At 39.6% G+C, this 17,144-nt stretch overlaps 1 long non-coding RNA gene across 6 annotated transcripts in view, besides 1 other annotated feature; it reads left to right on the top strand.

Annotated features, from left to right (window-relative positions):
* Positions 1–17,144, top strand: part of LINC01418 (long intergenic non-protein coding RNA 1418) — a 107,448-nt gene that overhangs the window by 21,276 nt on the left and 69,028 nt on the right. For 2 of the 6 annotated variants that reach the window (XR_001751641.2, XR_932528.3), the window contains one exon: positions 15,794–15,911. The exons of the other annotated variants lie outside the window; for them this stretch is intronic. This is a non-coding gene — a long non-coding RNA (long intergenic non-protein coding RNA 1418). The remainder of the gene's footprint in view (positions 1–15,793; positions 15,912–17,144) is intronic. 6 annotated transcript variants of the gene reach the window in all.
* Positions 537–998: a transcriptional cis regulatory region, noted in NCBI's record as "candidate enhancer chr15.2841 targeted for multiplex CRISPR interference". NCBI's record gives its function as "positively regulates MEX3B gene expression with high confidence in K562 cells {active_cell/tissue: K562}" and the evidence as "EXISTENCE:mutant phenotype evidence [ECO:0000015][PMID:30612741]".

The raw sequence follows: 17,144 nt of genomic DNA, 5'->3' as shown, positions 1-17,144 counted from the left end.
AAAAATGAAGGGAATTTGGCCGGGTGCGGTGGCTCACGCCTGTAATCCCAGCACTTTGGGAGGCCGAGGCGGGCGGATCACGAGGTCAGGAGATTAAGACCATCCTGGCTAAAACACGGTGAAACTCCGTCTCTACTAAAAATACAAAAGTTAGCCGGTTGTGGTGGCGGGCGCCTGTAGTCCCAGCTACTCGGGAGGCTGAGGCAGGAGAATGGCGTGAACCCGGGAGGCAGAGCTTGCAGTGAGCCGAGATCGCACCACTACACTCTAGCCTGGGGGACAGAGGGAGACTGCGTCTCAAAAAAAAAAAAAAAAAAAAAAGCAGGGGTTTTGGACCCAGAGAGAGATGCACATAGAGTGAAGATGCTGTGAATACACAAAGGGAACACCATCTACAAGTCAAGGAACACGTGAGGCTACCAGAAGCTGGGAGAGAAGCATGGAACACTCCCCACAACCCCCAACAGCCCTCAGAAGAAAACATCCTGCTGACACCTGGATTGCAGACTTCTAGCCTCCAGAGCTGAGCAAGAGGCAATACATTTCTCTTGTTTAAGCCACCCAACGAGAGATACTTTGTTACAGCAGCCCAGGAAACTAACACAATGGCTAAATTGAGCCTGGAAGAATGAGTAGGATTCCTCTAGGTGAACAAAGGGGAAAGCACTTTATAAAGAGAAACAGCCCAGGCCAAGGTGCAGAGGTGGGAGAGGGGTATCCACATTTGAGCAACTCCACAGAGTTGGTGAGGCCAGATCGTGAGACCGCAGGGGAGGAGGATGAGGCTGGTGAGGCATGCATGGGGCAGATAAGAAAACTTAACACTTTATTCTGAGGACAACTAGAAACAACTCGAGTTCAAGTGGCCCTGAGTCGAGTTCCACCTCCTATCTCAGAACCCTGGGGAATAACAACATTTAAGAGATGGGTAGAGGAAGGGAGCTAGTAAACGACCCTGAAAAGGGGCTGCCAGAAAGAGACCAGAGAGTATGATACACAGAAACATTGTAAATATTTACAAGTACTATTTGTCAATTACAAATAAAATTTAAAAAGTCATACATGTAAGTTGCAGATAATTTGAAAAATATAAGTGTGAATAAAGAGGCTGGGAGCGGTGGCTCAGGCCTGTAATCCCAGCACTTTGGGAGGCCGAGGCGGGCGAATCACTTGAGGTCAGGAGTTTGAGACCAGCCTGGCCAACAAAGCAAAACCCTGTCTCTACTAAATTAAAAAAAAAAAAGGCCAGGCTTGGTGGTGGGTGCCTGTAATCCCAGTTACTCGGGAGGCTGAGGCAGGAGAATTGCTTGAACCCGGGAGGCAGAGGTTGCAGTGAGCTGAGATTGTGCCACTGCACTCCAGCCTGGGTGACAGAGCAAGACTCTGTCAAAAAACAAACAAACAAACAAACAAAAAACATTTAAAAAAAGAGAGAGAGAGCCAATAAGAAGAAATACAAGAAAAACCTAGTAGGATTCAAAGTATGGCCAAAGCAGACACTTAGGAGATTATTGATAGCTGGCATGAGAGCAGATTCAGAATGAAGCAGTAGGGCAGAAAGGAGCCCTGGATAGTTTGAGGAGAGAGTGAGAGAGGAGTACATGGAGCTGTCTTGTGTAGACTATGGTTTCAAGAAATATGACTACAAAGGAAAAAAAAGAAATAAGAGGATAACTGGAGGAAGTCCTAGGAGGAAGCCCATGTATAGAAGGAGAAAAAAATCAGTGCACAGAGAGAAACAGAATCTGGAAGTGTGGACTAAGTGCAGGGAAACTTTCCGCTTGGCCTTTCCTAACTGCATGGATAAAAACAATTCCCTCTCATCACCTATTATTATTATTATTTTTGTAGAGATGGAGTCTTGCTCTGTCGCCCAGGCTGGAGTGCAGTGGTGTGATCTCGGCTCACTGCAACCTCTGCCTCCCAGGGTTTAAGCAATTCTCATTCCTCAGCCTCCCGAGTAGCTGGGATTACAGGTGCGTGCCACCACGCCCAGCTAATTTCTTTTTTATTTTACTAGAGAAGGGGTTTCACCGTGTTGCCCAGGCTGGTCTCGAACTCTTGAGCTCGGGCAACCCACCCGCCTCGGCCTCCCAGCCTCCCAAAGTTCTAGGATTACAGGTGTGAGCCACCGCGCCCGGCCTTATTATTATTTTGCTTAAGCAAGTTTAGATTTCTGCCACAGGGGTTTGTAAACAGGGCCAGTGAAAGATGCCACTATGTGTGTGGGTTCTCTTCTGACTGAGGACCACAAAGTTGAGCACATTGTTTTGAGTGGCTGCTCATGTCTGCGGCAAGAGAAGGGCCCCAATGTCAGGGAAAGGCTGCCATTGACATAGAAAAGAATGAAGCACCGTTATGATCTGCAGGCATTTTATAGATAATTATAGAGTTACAATGTAGCTGTCAGGAACTTGGCTGGTAGGAGAACTGCATTGTTTTGATAAATCCTTGACTCTGTGGAGTTGTGGCACATTTATATTGCCTGCACAGAACACCATCCTGTTCTCTCCTGGATTACAGGGTTTTTGTTTTGTTTTTCTAGAATGAGGGCTGACCTTGCAAAACAGGTTTCAAGTTTAAGGCTTGACTTTTTCAGTTGTCTTCAAAAGAATTATTTAAATACCAGACAATTAGTTTCAGAATTTGGTAATATTAACCCTTGGAGAAAGCAGGCTATTTTGCCTTACCTGCAACCCACCTCCGCATCTTAGAGTTCTAATAGAAGAGGGACTCAGTCATTTGTTGAATGACTCAAATTTGCTAAATGCCATATTAAGTGCATTCACATAGGTTGTCTCATTTGATTGTCATACCATGTTTGCAATAGAAGGACCTTGATCTCATTTTTTTTTTCAGATGAGGAAGTAGTGTCTCAGAAAATAATGACATGTATGTGAGGGATCTGGGCTTCAAACTAGCTCAGAATCCATCCATTCTCTCCCTCCCTCCTCACTGTGCCTTGCTCAGCAGTTTGTAAGTCAAGATCTATGCAAAGTCTAGGAAAGGATACATCATAAACGCAAAATGTTTCTTGTGCATGAAGAGAGAAATAACTTACAGAACAATCTGACGTCATTTGAAATAGTCAGAGGAGATTCTGGGCATTATGCTTTAGGAACAGATTGGCACCCATTGCAAGTCCTGCAGAAATTCAGAGAAAGGAGGACTCCCTGTGGATTACTATGGCCAAAACGACTTCCTGGAAGAAGCAAAACTTGAACTTAACTTTGGAGGATGAAGAGATTGAAAAAGTAAATAGGCCATTTTACAGCAGAAGAATTCAGTAGGCAGATCAAAAGATGGGGTACAGCAAAGATTTCTGCAAGATGTTTAGGAAATTTGCTAGACCACAGTGAAGATGAAACTGTGACTAGGGTTTGGTTAATTAGGTCAATGAAGATTAGCTTAAATGCAATATGGTAGACAATAGGGAGCTATTGCAAAACTTAAGCAGGGAGCACTTTTCATCCATCTGTCCACTCATCTATCCAACCCACAAGCACTCAGTGGGGATTGTTTATGAGCCTGTCTATTTGGAGAGTGGAGATAAAACTTAAGCAAAGAGGCTGAAATTCTCAGAAGAATGCAAGGAAACTAGAAGAGAAAGATTCTAAAGAAAGAGGAAGCATTTTCTTATCTCTCTGTTATACTTTGCCATCCATCCTGTAGGGTCTACCTCAAATGCCACCTCGTTCCATGGGCCTCCCTGAATGGCTGTGGTTTCTTATTCTTCAAGTATAGTTACTCTTAACATGTCCCATCCCCTTAACTGAAAGCAGAAGATAGGTCTTGCTCATCTTGTAAATGTAAACAATTTGCAAATCCATAGACCCAATACATAATTTTTGAGACTCTATTCTGTGTCAAGCACTATGCTAGTTGCATACATGTTTGTAGACTTGAACTGACGTAAAGAGAGACGGCTAGATATCCTGAAGGTCTATCCTTACTGTAGCATTCCCATAGATTTATGATCCCTGTTGAGCAAGGGAGAGATAAACCCTCTACAGTTAGAGCAAGCATTGAGGGGCATAGCAGTATGGGGAGCTAGATGACACCTGGAGATGGTGTTTGCCATTGGGTTAGGTGTGAACAGCAGCAGCAAGACTGAAATGATCAGAGGAGCATTCTGCAGAGGAGCCCTCAGGTCACATTTGGAGGCGTCAGCAGTTGGGTCTGTTGGAGGCAGGCACAGTTTAGCTGTCCTGCTGTGCTTCAGTGTTCTAGTCTGTAAATGTGTACACAATGGCCATTTGCATGCTGTGAGCCAGATTGTTTTAGCGTGGTAACTGCAGAGCGGAGATGTGTTATTTGCCTTAGTCCTGTCAAGTTTATGGTGCAGCCCTTGATTCCTTGCAATGCTCTATTGATTTTGAAAGCATCCGTGAGTGGTATTTCCTAAGATGGACTTGTCTGAATTGATTCTTAGCTTATACACTGATAAATTCTTGTTTTGTGGTTGAAAAATACCAGGAGTGCCTTTGCAGAGATAAAACAGGCAAAACAGGACAAAAAGGCATCTCTCTGGCCATCTTTCTCATTGTGCAATGTTTTACCTTATTTATTATATCTACTTAAAGTTAGCTATTGAAATAATAAAGGGAAAAAAACCCCAAACTTCCCAGTCACTAACAGTCTGTCAAAATTGTGCACTCTGAAATGGACATCACAGGATTGGAATTTGCTAGGATGTATATGCCAAATGTATTATAGGTATGTGGCAGTTTAGAAAAACTTCAAGAAATTTACATGACTCAGAATGCTACTTCTTGTGTTTGCGTCAGACAACATGCCTTTTTTTTTTAAAAAAAACATAGGCATGTTAGAGAGTGCATGCTTCATCATTTAAATGCCAGACTAGTTTCATGCATTATTCTTTAAAGTTGCTAATCCTGTAGATTTCCCATTAGCAGATTTACATAAGTGCACCTCTCCTGAATGAATATGTTAGCTCATGTTGCATTATAAAGCCCCTTTATCTGACAGTTGCACCTGTCATGGGGTATCCTCAATTTACTTAGTTGAAGATATTTTTCTGAGGTCATTTGTTTTTCTTTCTAGGGTTAAAGGTTCTGCACAATTTTTCCTTTTCCTTCACATCTGCAAAGGTTCTTAGAATGCCTACAAATGAACACTACATGCTCTGTTTTAAAGTCTTAGGTGATTTCTCCCCTGGGGCATATACATTTACTTCTTAAGGTCTTGTAATTCACTTGAAAATGCACATTTACTCACACCAATAAAATTTTCTTCCAGCTATATATTTTCCTGCATTACATCATCTCATTAAGCACCAGAATCACCCAGGCTTGGATTTCCCCCAAAGATTGTGGGAAATTTGTGACTGGCTCCATGAAATGAGCTCTTATTCTGTGATGGTCTAAAAATAGTTGCACCAAACCACAAAAACATATTGCCAGTGGCTTAGATTAATGCCTTTCTTCTGTGATCAGGAGCTATTAGGTGATGGTGTGGGAAGGAGGCTCAGAGATCACCTGGGCAAGATTTTTAATTTACAGATAAGAAAATTGAGTCTCTGACAAGTGAAGTGAATTGCTTATGGTCCACAGTGAGTTCTTGTCACCTCCAGCACTGGAACTCACATTTCTGGATTCCCTACTTTGAAGAAAAAATATCCAACTTGGATGCTTGGAAGATAGGAGAGCAAGAGGGTTGAAATCCTGCAGATCTGGATTAAAATTCCAACTTGATCACTTAGCTATGTTGACCTTGGGAAACTTCAACATATCTATGTCTATTCATCTCTAAAATGGGTATAATAGTAGTAGACTCCTTAGAGAATTGTTATGACAACTAAATGACATAATCCATGCAAAGGTATTAATGCAATGTCTGACATGTAGTAACTGCTCAATGATTGGCAGGTAATCATTTTAACTATTTTTATATATAAAAAGAATAGGATAAAGACAAAATGTTTACATTACTCAGATGAAGCTATCTGAGTAAGAAGTGATTGCTTTCCATAAGTAGAAACAAATATTGGGTGGGTGTGGGGAAATCTAACGAAAGTTTTTGTTGTCATCATGCTATTTTAAGTTGACTGTACACGCTTGAAGTTGAGTCACGCTCACAATAATTTATCCTGCAATTAGGGAAGGGTGCCACTAGGTGGCAGTAGTTTCTTAGTCATGGTTGTATAATTTTGGTCACCAAAAGGATGATAAAAGGAGACGTAATTGGAACATGTTTCAATTCATACACATTTTAAAGTCGACCTCATCACCACTACATACTCACATTTATTAAAATACTGTAATTGACAGGCCTTTGAAGTCAGATATACTTGAGTTTGAAATCCTTCCACTTTTTAGATCAATGTGGGCAAGTACTTGTATAAACACTACCCAGATTAATAAATAAAATATTACCAACACCCCAGATGCCTTTTCCACTATTAATGGACATTTGGATCATTCCCAATTTTGGCTATTAAAATAATGATACTAGGAATATTCTTATAATGTATTTTGGTGTATATATGTATGCGATTTCTTTGGATATGTGTATAGGAATAGAACTGATGGGTCATAGGGTAGGCATACCTGTAGCTTTAGTACATACTGGCATAGTTTTCTGAAGTGGCTGTATCACTTTCTACTTCTACCAGGTGTCTATGAAAGTTCCATTTGCCCAACATCTTTGTCTGTAAGTGGTATTGTTACATGAAATTTTTAAACATGATCTAGCAGATGTATAGAGATGTCTCATTGTGTTCTTAACATGTATTTCTCTGATGACTAATAATGTAGAGAAACTTTTCATGGATTTTGGCCATTTGGATATGCTCTTTTGTGAAGTTCCTGTTCAAGACCGTTGCCTAGGGTTGAACATGTTGTCTCTCATTTTAAAGATTGATAGGTAGGAGTTCTTTATACGTGCTGCATGAAAATCCTCTTCTCCCACTCAGTCGCTTGCCTTTCACTCTCTTAATGGTGTCTTGATAAATAGACAGTCTTCATTTAATGAAGCTCAATTTGCCAATCTTTTCCTTTATGTTTGTGTGTGTGTGTGTGTGTGTGTGTTTTAAAAGAAACATTGGCCTACGCCAAGGTTATGAAGATCAGTCGCTGAGGCTGGGGATAGCCTGGCACTAATTGGCTTAGGCCAATTACCTGGTTAACCCCTGTGGTAGGGAGATGGGATGACCCTGATTGGATTAGACCAATCAGGATTCACCTGGGGCACTAGTGTTAGGTCAATGTTCCTCAAAGCACAAGGGCTCTGTGAGGGAGCTGGAGGATTTGAACAAAAATTGGGTGCCGTTAAGATGGGAGAGAGGTGAGTGGATGCTGAGTGGCTCACCACCAAAGCACCTCGCAATTCTATGCACCAAGTAGATTGGAGTCCAGAGGAAAGGAAAATGAATGACCTTCAAGTGTTTCCCCAAAGAACACTCCAGAAGTTAGTATACAAACCGATTTTAAATGTTATTAAATTTCTTACTTATTCACCCCTTGCCTTCTTTTTTACCATCTCCGCATCATGTATATAAATGGACATGGACATGTCCACGTCATATGCACGGGCACACACATATGCATACACACAAGTCCTCCACTGCCTTCTTCACTTTCAAGGGTTGCCTAGGGTTGAACGTTTCCCTTTTGTACATGTTCACAAATTTCAGACTCAATACTACCAATCATTCCAAAATTTCAGGGAAGATCGCAGGTTTGATCAGTGGCCTGATGAATTTGAATTACCACACTAGTTTGTGGTATGATGGCAGGATACTAGAGACTTCCCATTTACCCCTCCCACCTTCCCACTGACATAATTATGAAAATATAGAAAGGTATTCAAATTTCCAATAGAGTTGGAAGCCAGAAGTATTACTTAATAACTTACTGGAAGCCAGGAGAAATTTCTACTCTACAGAACTTAGAGGAAGCCTCAAGGAACAAAGTAAGGCCATGTAGGGAAAAAGAGGTCATAGGAAATTCTTTCTCCATTATAGAGTCTCTCTCTTCCTCTCTTTCTTTCTCCCTCTTTCCATCTCTCTCTTTCACCTACTCCTGGGCTACAATTCCCAATAATGCTAATGAAGAGATGAGAATTTGGCAACTGAATAAACAGGGGTTAGTACAAATAGGAGACTAAGTTTTTCATTCAATGTTTTTGACAAGGAAATATACACTGCTTCAGACCAGAGAGATGACCTGGAGATCCTTCTGTAGGTTAAGTAAGTTGCAATCATGGGAAAGTTGTCTTGGAATGGGCAGAGACATTTGGTTTATAACAGAAGGCAGAGAGACAGGCATGGGGACCAAAGCAAAACCACACGTGCTTTTATGAGCAAATATCAAAACAGATCTCTCCCCGATCAAAGGATTGAACGTGGAAGAGAGAAAACATAAAACTGGAGAGGCAGAGAAATAGTGTTCCGTGGAAAAAATTTATTATAGGAAAGAGCAGAAAATTTTAGAAAACATCTAATTTGAGCTCAATAAACTTCAGGAAGGCAAGGAGGAGATGAAAACACAATAGACTTTGATGAAAAGGGAGATTATTTTGATAAGGAAAGCTTTTAAGGAAACTAAAATTTAATGACTTTTTAAATGGTTGATAACGGATCTGGAAGCAAAAACTTAACAACAAATACCTAGCCTATTGCATTCTTTTTTAATTTATGTAGTTACCAGGGCTAATTCTACATCCTGTAATCCTCCCACCTTTGGACAGATGTTTTTAGTAGTTCAAAATTTATTTTAAAAATGTACATTTAGCCTCTTTTCATGAATAGAAAATTGTTAAATAGATTCCTTTTTTACTACTCTGGCTTTTCAAGGAGACATACCATCAATGAATGCCAAATGTGCTATTAAAATTTCTCCAAATGTTAATAAATCTTACTTCTCTGGAAGTATTTGGTTCTGTTGTTAATTATATGTAGAGTCTAAGCTTTTTAAAGTTACAGGTGTATACAGGAATTAGATACACAACTTTAGGAAGTGAAGAATGAGTCTAATACACAGAACAGTATTTTGTATTAACAATGAAATCATAGACACAAAATCAGCATTAGAAGTAGTAAAAAAGCAAGTTAACCCTGCAGAAAATTTAATCAGAAATGCAGTGGTTTTCAAACTGAGCACCTTAGAGCCACCTGGTAGGGTCTCAGAGGCTGGGGTAGGGGGTGAAGGGGTTTTAGGGAGGGGCCAAGGGCTCCTTAGCCCCACTTCAACCACAACCACAGCAGCTTATTTTTGATCTTTTTTAAAAAAATAATTCTGTATAATTTGGGCATCAGATTTTGTTGGAAATTGTTTCTATGGCTAAAACTAATAGAAAACTCCTCATGTTAAATCAAATTAAGAAAGGCTCCCAATGTTTGGAAGAAAAGTGCAAAAACAAACAAACAAACAAAAAAAAACGATGGTGGTTGGCCGGGCATGGTGGCTCATGCCTGTAATCCCAGCACTTTGGGAGGCTGAGGCAGGTGGATCACCTGAGGTCAGGAGTTTGAGACCAGCCTGGCCAACGTGGTGAAGTCCCGTCTCTACTAAAAATACAAAAATTAACTGGACGTGGTGGCGGCTGTGTGTAATCCCAGCTACTTGGAAGGCTGAGGCAGGAGAATCACTTGAACCCAGGAGGCAGAGGTTGCAGTGAACCGAGATCACGCCATTGTACTCCAGCCTGGGTGACAGAGTGAGACTCCGTCTCAAAAAAAAAAAAAAAAAAGATAATGGTAAGAGAAGATGACATGGAGCACAGTGTAGTGTTGAAGCGCTACGTAGTGTTGAAGCACAGCGTGGTATTGAAAGTAATAGAAATCCCGGAGAAGAGATCAAAGGAAAGAGAAGCAATAATGACAAAGAACTAGAAGAAAACCTGTCTGAAGCCCAAGAAGTACCAAATACAATTAATAAAATAAAAGATAAGGAAACAGGAAGGCCATCTGGTGTTGTCGTACCTTCATAAAGATGTGTCCATATCCATACCCATAGATCGCTCTATAGTTATCCAATCCGGGAGGGAAAACACGACAGCAGTTTACTTATTTCTATCCAGGCTAACTCTAGTCTTCTTGAACTTACTGTTTTGAAAGAAAAATCTGAGTCCCTAAATTTTGTATTAGCAAAATTATTCATAAGTGAAGGCACCAATGAGACCTTTTTTCTTTTTTCTTTGGTGGGTAGGGGTGTTAGGAGACACTAAAAGGCCCAGAATGTAAAACACCCATGAACCCTTTCTCTGGGATATTATCCACAAGACTGAAGATGGCCAAGAAATGAACCAAAATAAGTAAAAAATAGGGTTGCTGTAGTAGGAAAGTATCAACTAGGAAATAATACTTAACTATAAGACGTTTCGAGTCTTTGCAACTTCTGCCTCCCGGGTTCAAGCGATTCTCCTGCCTCAGCCTCCCAAGTAGCTGGGATTACAGAGGACTGCCACCACACCTGGCTAATTTTTGTATTTTTAGTAGAGGCCGGGTTTCACCATGTTGGCCAGGCTGGTCTCAAACTCCTGACCTCAAGTGATCCACCCACCTTGGCCTCTCAAAGTGCTGGGACTACAGGCATGAGCCGCTACACCCGGCCTGTTTCAAGTCTTAATGTAAAACTCAAGGGTAATCACCAGTATACATTTTTAAAATTGACAATTTTCATATCACTGCAGAAGACACAATAAATAGAACATGATGTGAAACTATAAGAAAACACGAAAAAAAATAAAGATTTCTCCCAAAACCAAAAGCATGAAATAAGATGAACATAAATAATATTGAACATTTTATACATTTTACATATTCATGACAGTAAACATAAATAGGTCAAGATATTGGAGTAAAATAAAATTACCCTTAGTATAGGGAAAAAAACCCCAGCAAACAAAATCTTATTATGTGTTATTTGTAAAGGATACATCTATTAAGAAAGAAAAGACGAATAAAACACCCAGTAAGATTGAAACCAACATGTTGGGTTCATTAATATGTGCAGACAACAAACAAAAAAGCAAAAATCATGACTAAAAGACTCCTATATTAATATATCATTAAGAATTAAAAGTATAAAAGCATTAAAAGTGATGGAAGGGTCATTTTACTCCTGTGAAAAGTACAAGGCACATTACAGACATAATGATCAGGAATATTCATCCAATCCATAACATGTTATTGACATATACAGTGAAAGATTTTTATATAAGGTACACAAGAAGAAAAAAATTTAAAGCCCAGAAGAGAAAGACTTAAGCATAGTTTTCTACATTTCTGAAAGATTAAGCAGCCAAAATTAAGAACATAGTGAATCTGGACCAGGTGCGGTGGCTCACACCTGTAATCCCAGAACTTTGGGAGGCCGAGGAGGGCAGATCACGAGGTCAGGAGATCGAGACCATCCTGGCTAACACGGTGAAACCCCGTCTCTACTCAAAATACGAAAAAATTAGCTGGGCATGGTGGCGGGAGCCTGTAGTGCCAGCTACTCCAGAGGCTAAGGCAGGAGAATGGCGTGAACCTGGGAGGCGGAGTTTGCAGTGAGCGGAGATCGCATCACTGCACTCCAGCCTGGGCGACAGAGCGAGAGTCCGTCTCAAAAAAAAAAGAACGTAGTGAATCTGGATAATAACATTACTAAGTTTAATTAAGTAGACTAAATTAAAATTTGTGTCTTTTTTTTTTTTGAAAGGAGTCTCACTCTGTCGCCCAGTCTGGAGTGCAGTGGCGCCATCTCGGCTCACTGAAAGCTCCGCCTCCCGGGTTCAAGCGATTCCCCTGCCTCAGCCTCTGGCTAATTTTTAAAAATTTTTTTAGTACAGACGGTTTCACCATCTTGTCCAGGCTGGTCTCAAACTCCTGACCTCGTGATCCACCCTCCTCAGCCTCCCAAAATGTTGGGATTACAGGCGTGAGCCACGGCACCCAGTCTGAAATTTGTATCTTACAAATAGTTGAATACTCCTTGTTAGGAGTTCATTGAACAACTATGAGATGTAATTAGATCACAAAGAAAACCTTAATACATTTCCAATGGGAGAAATTATATGTGCATTTTCTGTTATCCTAAACCTTAATCACATGGGAAAAGAGCGAAATCCCCTTAAAAAAAAAAAAAAACCCTCAACTTAAACTTGTGGTTTAAAATATCTTGGAGATATTATAGGTTGGGCTCTGTGGCTCATGCCTGTAATCCCAGCATTTTGGGAAGCCAAGATGAAAGGATTGCTTGAGCCTAGGAGTTCAGGACCAGCCTTGGCAACAAAACGAGGCCCTGTCTCTACAAAACAAAAACAAAAACAAAACCCAAAACAAAAACACACATCTATCTATCTATCTATCTATCTATCTATCTATCTCTCTATCTATCTATCTATCTATCTATCTATCATCTATCTATCTTAGAAAACAGTGAAAATGAGAGTTCTCCATATCAAACTCACAGGTACTATAAAAACAGTGATGAAAGAAATAGATTTCAAATTAAAAAATGAAAGTAAACAATAGGAATTGGGAAATGAATGAAACTGACCAAAGATTCAATCCGAGTGTGAAGAATAAAGGCAAATAAAATTTTATGACAACAAAAAGAAGGAATAATATTAAGCCAAACATGAACAATTAAAAGACAATAAACTATGGAAATTGTCATGAAGTCAATTTTTTCTTTAAACTTTTTTTGATGAGGAGATAAATTAAAACATAGAAACCTTTCTGGGCCAGGCACGGTGGCTCACGCCTGTAATCCCAGCACTTTGGGAGGCCAAGGCGGGTGGATCACTTGAGGTCAGGAGTTCGAGACGGCCTGGCCAATATGGTGAAACCCTGTCTCTCCTAAAAATACAAAAAATTAGCAGGGTGTGGTGGCGGGCACCTGTAATCCCAGCTACTTGGGAAGATGAGGCACAAGAATTGCTTGAACCTGGGAGGCGATGATTGCAGTGAGCCGAGATCATTCCACTGCACTCCAGCCTGGGCAATAGAGCGAGACTCAGTCTAAAAAAAAAAAAAAAAAAGAAATCTTTCTGTATAATTAAAATAAGTTTGAACATCTCAATATATTAACTGATTTTGAGGAAACTGTAGCTACAGAAATTTACATTAGATATGGAAAATCTAGAAAGGTAGAATAAGTAAGGACCCATTTCTAGAGATGTCAAAAGGTACATTTAGGAAAGGATATGAGGGCATGAATGGGCGGTTTTATGGGTTAGGTTCTTTCAAATGTACAAGAAACAGCAAGAAGATACATGGAAAATTTCCTTATTCATTTATAATACAAATAACCTCAGTAACAGAATTGACACAGCTACTCTCTCTTTACACAAAAATTATAATCCAACTTGAATTATGAAAATAAACAAAAATTGTAAAAAATTACACTAGCAAATTGAGAACAGCATTCTAGTAAATGAAGATACATTCATGACTAAATTAACGGCATTCAAGGAATGCAATAATGATTTGATGTTAGAAATATTTTACTAGAAGGCCGGGTGTGGTGGCTCATGCCTATAATCCCAGCACTTTGGGAGGCCAAGGTGGGAGGATCACTTGAGGCCAGGAGATCAAGACCAGCCTGGCCAACACGGCAAAACCCGTCTCTACTAAAAAATACAAAAGTTAGCCAGGCATGGTGACTCGTGCCTGTAATCCCAGCTACTTAGGAGGCTGAGGCAGGAGAATCGCTTGAACTGGGGAGGCGGAGGTTGCAGTGAGCCAAGATCGGGCCACTGTACCCCAGCCTGGGAAACAGAGTGAGACTCTGTCTCAAAGAAAAAAAATAAAAAGACAGAGCTGGCAGTGAGCCGAGATCGCGCCACTGCACTCCAGCCTGGGTGACTGAGACTCCGTCTCAAAAAAAAAAAAAAAAAGAAATATTTTACTATAACATATATCCATAGATCAAGAAAATCTCAATAGTAGCAAAAATGGAATCTGTTAAAATTTAAATTCAATTACTGATGAACAACAATGAACTAGGAATGGGAAATTCTGCCTCAGCAGTATCAAGTTTCTCTTTATTTCTGTCTCAGGACAAGAGTCTTAACAACTAGTCCAATGCAGAGCCTCTTAGAATTACAATGGGTTGAGCTGGTTGGGAATATAAAGCACTGTGAGAATACAGACTATGCTTCTGAATTTTAGAGGAAGTTAATATTGGAGCAGGTCAGATTCACACATATTTTACCAATGGAGGACTATCTGTCCTTAATGAATTCAGTTACACCTGTGAGTAGTGATCAGGAAGGTGGCAGAATCATGCTGTTCTGCCCACATCTACCATGATGAAAGGAAGGAGAAAGATGGAGAGGCTGCTTTTTGACATCCCACTGGATGGCGACCATTAGGTTGCGTCGACTGATTTCCTCAGTAAAACCAGAAGAACCATTTCCTAGAAGAACCTGAAGAAATACAGAAGAGTACTGAAGCCTTTGGCAGGAGGGAAAGGAGGAAAAGAGCTATGATTTGTTGAGCTTCAACTAGGTTGCTTTACATACCTAATCTTGAAAGTTTACAACATCCAAGCACATAGCCATTATACTCGTAGCATGACTGAATATTTACACACCCTACTCCTTAGATATGCAAAGGATATTTTACAATAAAAATTATCAGACAATACATCACGCATACAAAAAAGCATATAAAATTTCTATGTATAGCTTAGTGAATAATAAAACAATATATACCTATGTGCCCTCCACCCAGCTTAAGTACATATTTCCAGTGCCTTAATGATGAGCCATGGTGTGAAATTCCTCAATTACTTCCCCACCCTCCCCCACAGAGTAAACCGCCATCCTGAGTTTACGTTTATCATTCCTTTGCTTATCTTTGTGTTTCAGTATCTACGTGTAAATCAACAAACAAAACAGTGTTTGGTTTTGCCTGTTTTAGAACTTTATATGAGTGGGTTGTATACTCTATGTGGCTACAATGGCCATGGGAATGCACCTCAGAGACTTCCTTCTGCAAGGGATCAAGTGACCAAAAGCTTAGCTGCTGAACTCTGAAATCCATGGGTGTCAGTGCCTGTCTCCCACGTGCAGTTCACTGGCAGTGACATTGCGGCGAGGCTGCTAAAGTAGACTTGGTTGGGTGCAGCGGCTCATGCCTGTAATCCCAGCGCTTTAGGAGGCAGGGGTCGAGAATCATATGTGGCCGGGAGTTTGACACCAGCCTGGACAACATAGTGAGACTCTGTCTCTACAAAAAAAATGGTGGTGCACACCTGTAGTCCCAGCTACTCAGGAGGCTGAAGTGGAAGGACAGCTTGAGCCAGGAGTTTGAGGTTACCATGAGCTATGATCATGCCACTGCACTCTAGACTGGGTGACAGAGGGAGAGTTTATTTCTAAAAATAAAAAAATAAAAAAACATAAAGTAAAAAGCCTGCTGTGGACCAGCTTGGCTCAAGGACTCCCTGAATAAACTTTCTTAGGCTGCATGGCTGTCTAAGACATGTTCAGACTTTTCTTCCTCCTTTTCACCTGGGGTCAGACTTGCAGTCTGATGGCTCTTCTAGACTTTCTGCAGCTCCTGCTCCACCTTCTTTACCGTAGGTATTTCCCCGGAATAAAACTCTTACACATTTAATTCTGTCTTGGTGTCTGCTTCTTAGAAGACTTAGACTAACACAGTAGTCTTTTTTTGGCTTATTTCTTTTTGTGTTCCATTCATGCTAATGTGTGAATTTCATTCTTCTTCTCCACTGTATAATATCTATTGTTTATATATCATAATTTATCGAGCTCTTTGTCTGTTGATGGACACTGAGTTGTTTCTTTTTCGTTTTTCTTTTGCATTATAAACCAGAGGCTGGAAAAAAAAGTCCTATGGGCCAAATCCTCCTGATCCTGTATAGCCCACAACATAATAATAGTTTTATATTTTTAAATGGTTGGAAAAATCAAAAGAAGAAGAATATTTCATGGTATGTGAATATATGAAATTCAAAGTTCAACGTTCATAGAAAAGTTTTATGGGAACATAGTCATGTTTATCTCTTTATGTATTGTCTAAGGTTGCTTTCTTTCTACAATGGCAGAGTCGACTGGCTGCTCGATGATCCACAAAGAATAAAATATTTACCATTTAGCCCTTTACAGAAGAAGTGTACTGACCCCTGTTAAAAACATGTGGTTATGAATAATCTTGTGTGCATCTTTTGCTGCATATGTGTAGGAGTTACTCAGGATATAGCCTTAGGGGAATATCTGGGCCTTAGGATATGTACATGTTTAATTTTATTAGTTAATGCCAAATTGTTTTTCAAACTGATTGCAAAGTATTTTCAGCAGTGGGCATCGGGTCACAGTTGTACTACATCCTAGCCAATGGTTGGTATTGTCCAACTGTTCAATTTTTACCAACTGAGTGGACTTGAAAAGTTTTCTCATTGGTTTTAATAGGCATTTCTTTGATTACTAATGTAATTGAACATATGCTTATGGTCCATTTGTATTTTGTCTTTATGACATTGCTTTATGTCTTTAGTCTATTTTCTTTTGGATTGTTTGTCTTTTTCTTGATTGATTCATTGAAATTCTTTACATATTTTGTATATTGATTCATTATAATTTAATTCATAGCATTAAATTAAGTCATTTAATTTATGGCCCCTACTTTGTACTATCTTTATTGTGCTTTTGGATTGCCAGAGTTTTTACATTTAAGATTCTTTTATGGAAAATTTCAATCACATGCAAAAATAGAAGTTCTTAATTTGAATGTAGTTGTCTTTTAAATACTCTACTTTCTGTTTCATAATTTTTATGTTTTAAGAAGCCCTTCTTTATTCCCAAATGACAAAGATATTAATATATGTTGTCTTTTGAAGTTTTATAATTTTCCTTTCCATTCAAGTCTTGTGACATCTTGGAATTGATTTTTGGTATGATATGATATAAACATACAATTTCATTTTTAAAATATGGATTATCACAGTCTCTGAGCCATTCATTTAAAAATTCACCTCTTTTTTCTCCTGATTGGCAATTGTTCCTACAGAAAATTTCATATAGGTATGGATTTGTTTCTAGACGCTCTAGTCCTTCTATTTATCTATTTATCTTTTCTGATTGATTCCTCATTGCTGTAGCTATTTAGTTTAATCATATGTCTTTACATATGCCTTCTGTCTTGGTCTTTTGTCAGTAGTGTTTTG

The sequence above is a fragment of the Homo sapiens genome, chromosome 15 (genome assembly GCF_000001405.40).
Source record: "Homo sapiens chromosome 15, GRCh38.p14 Primary Assembly".
In the NCBI taxonomy this organism is placed as follows: Eukaryota; Metazoa; Chordata; class Mammalia; order Primates; family Hominidae; genus Homo; species Homo sapiens.
This window is presented reverse-complemented; position numbering and strand designations above follow the sequence as displayed.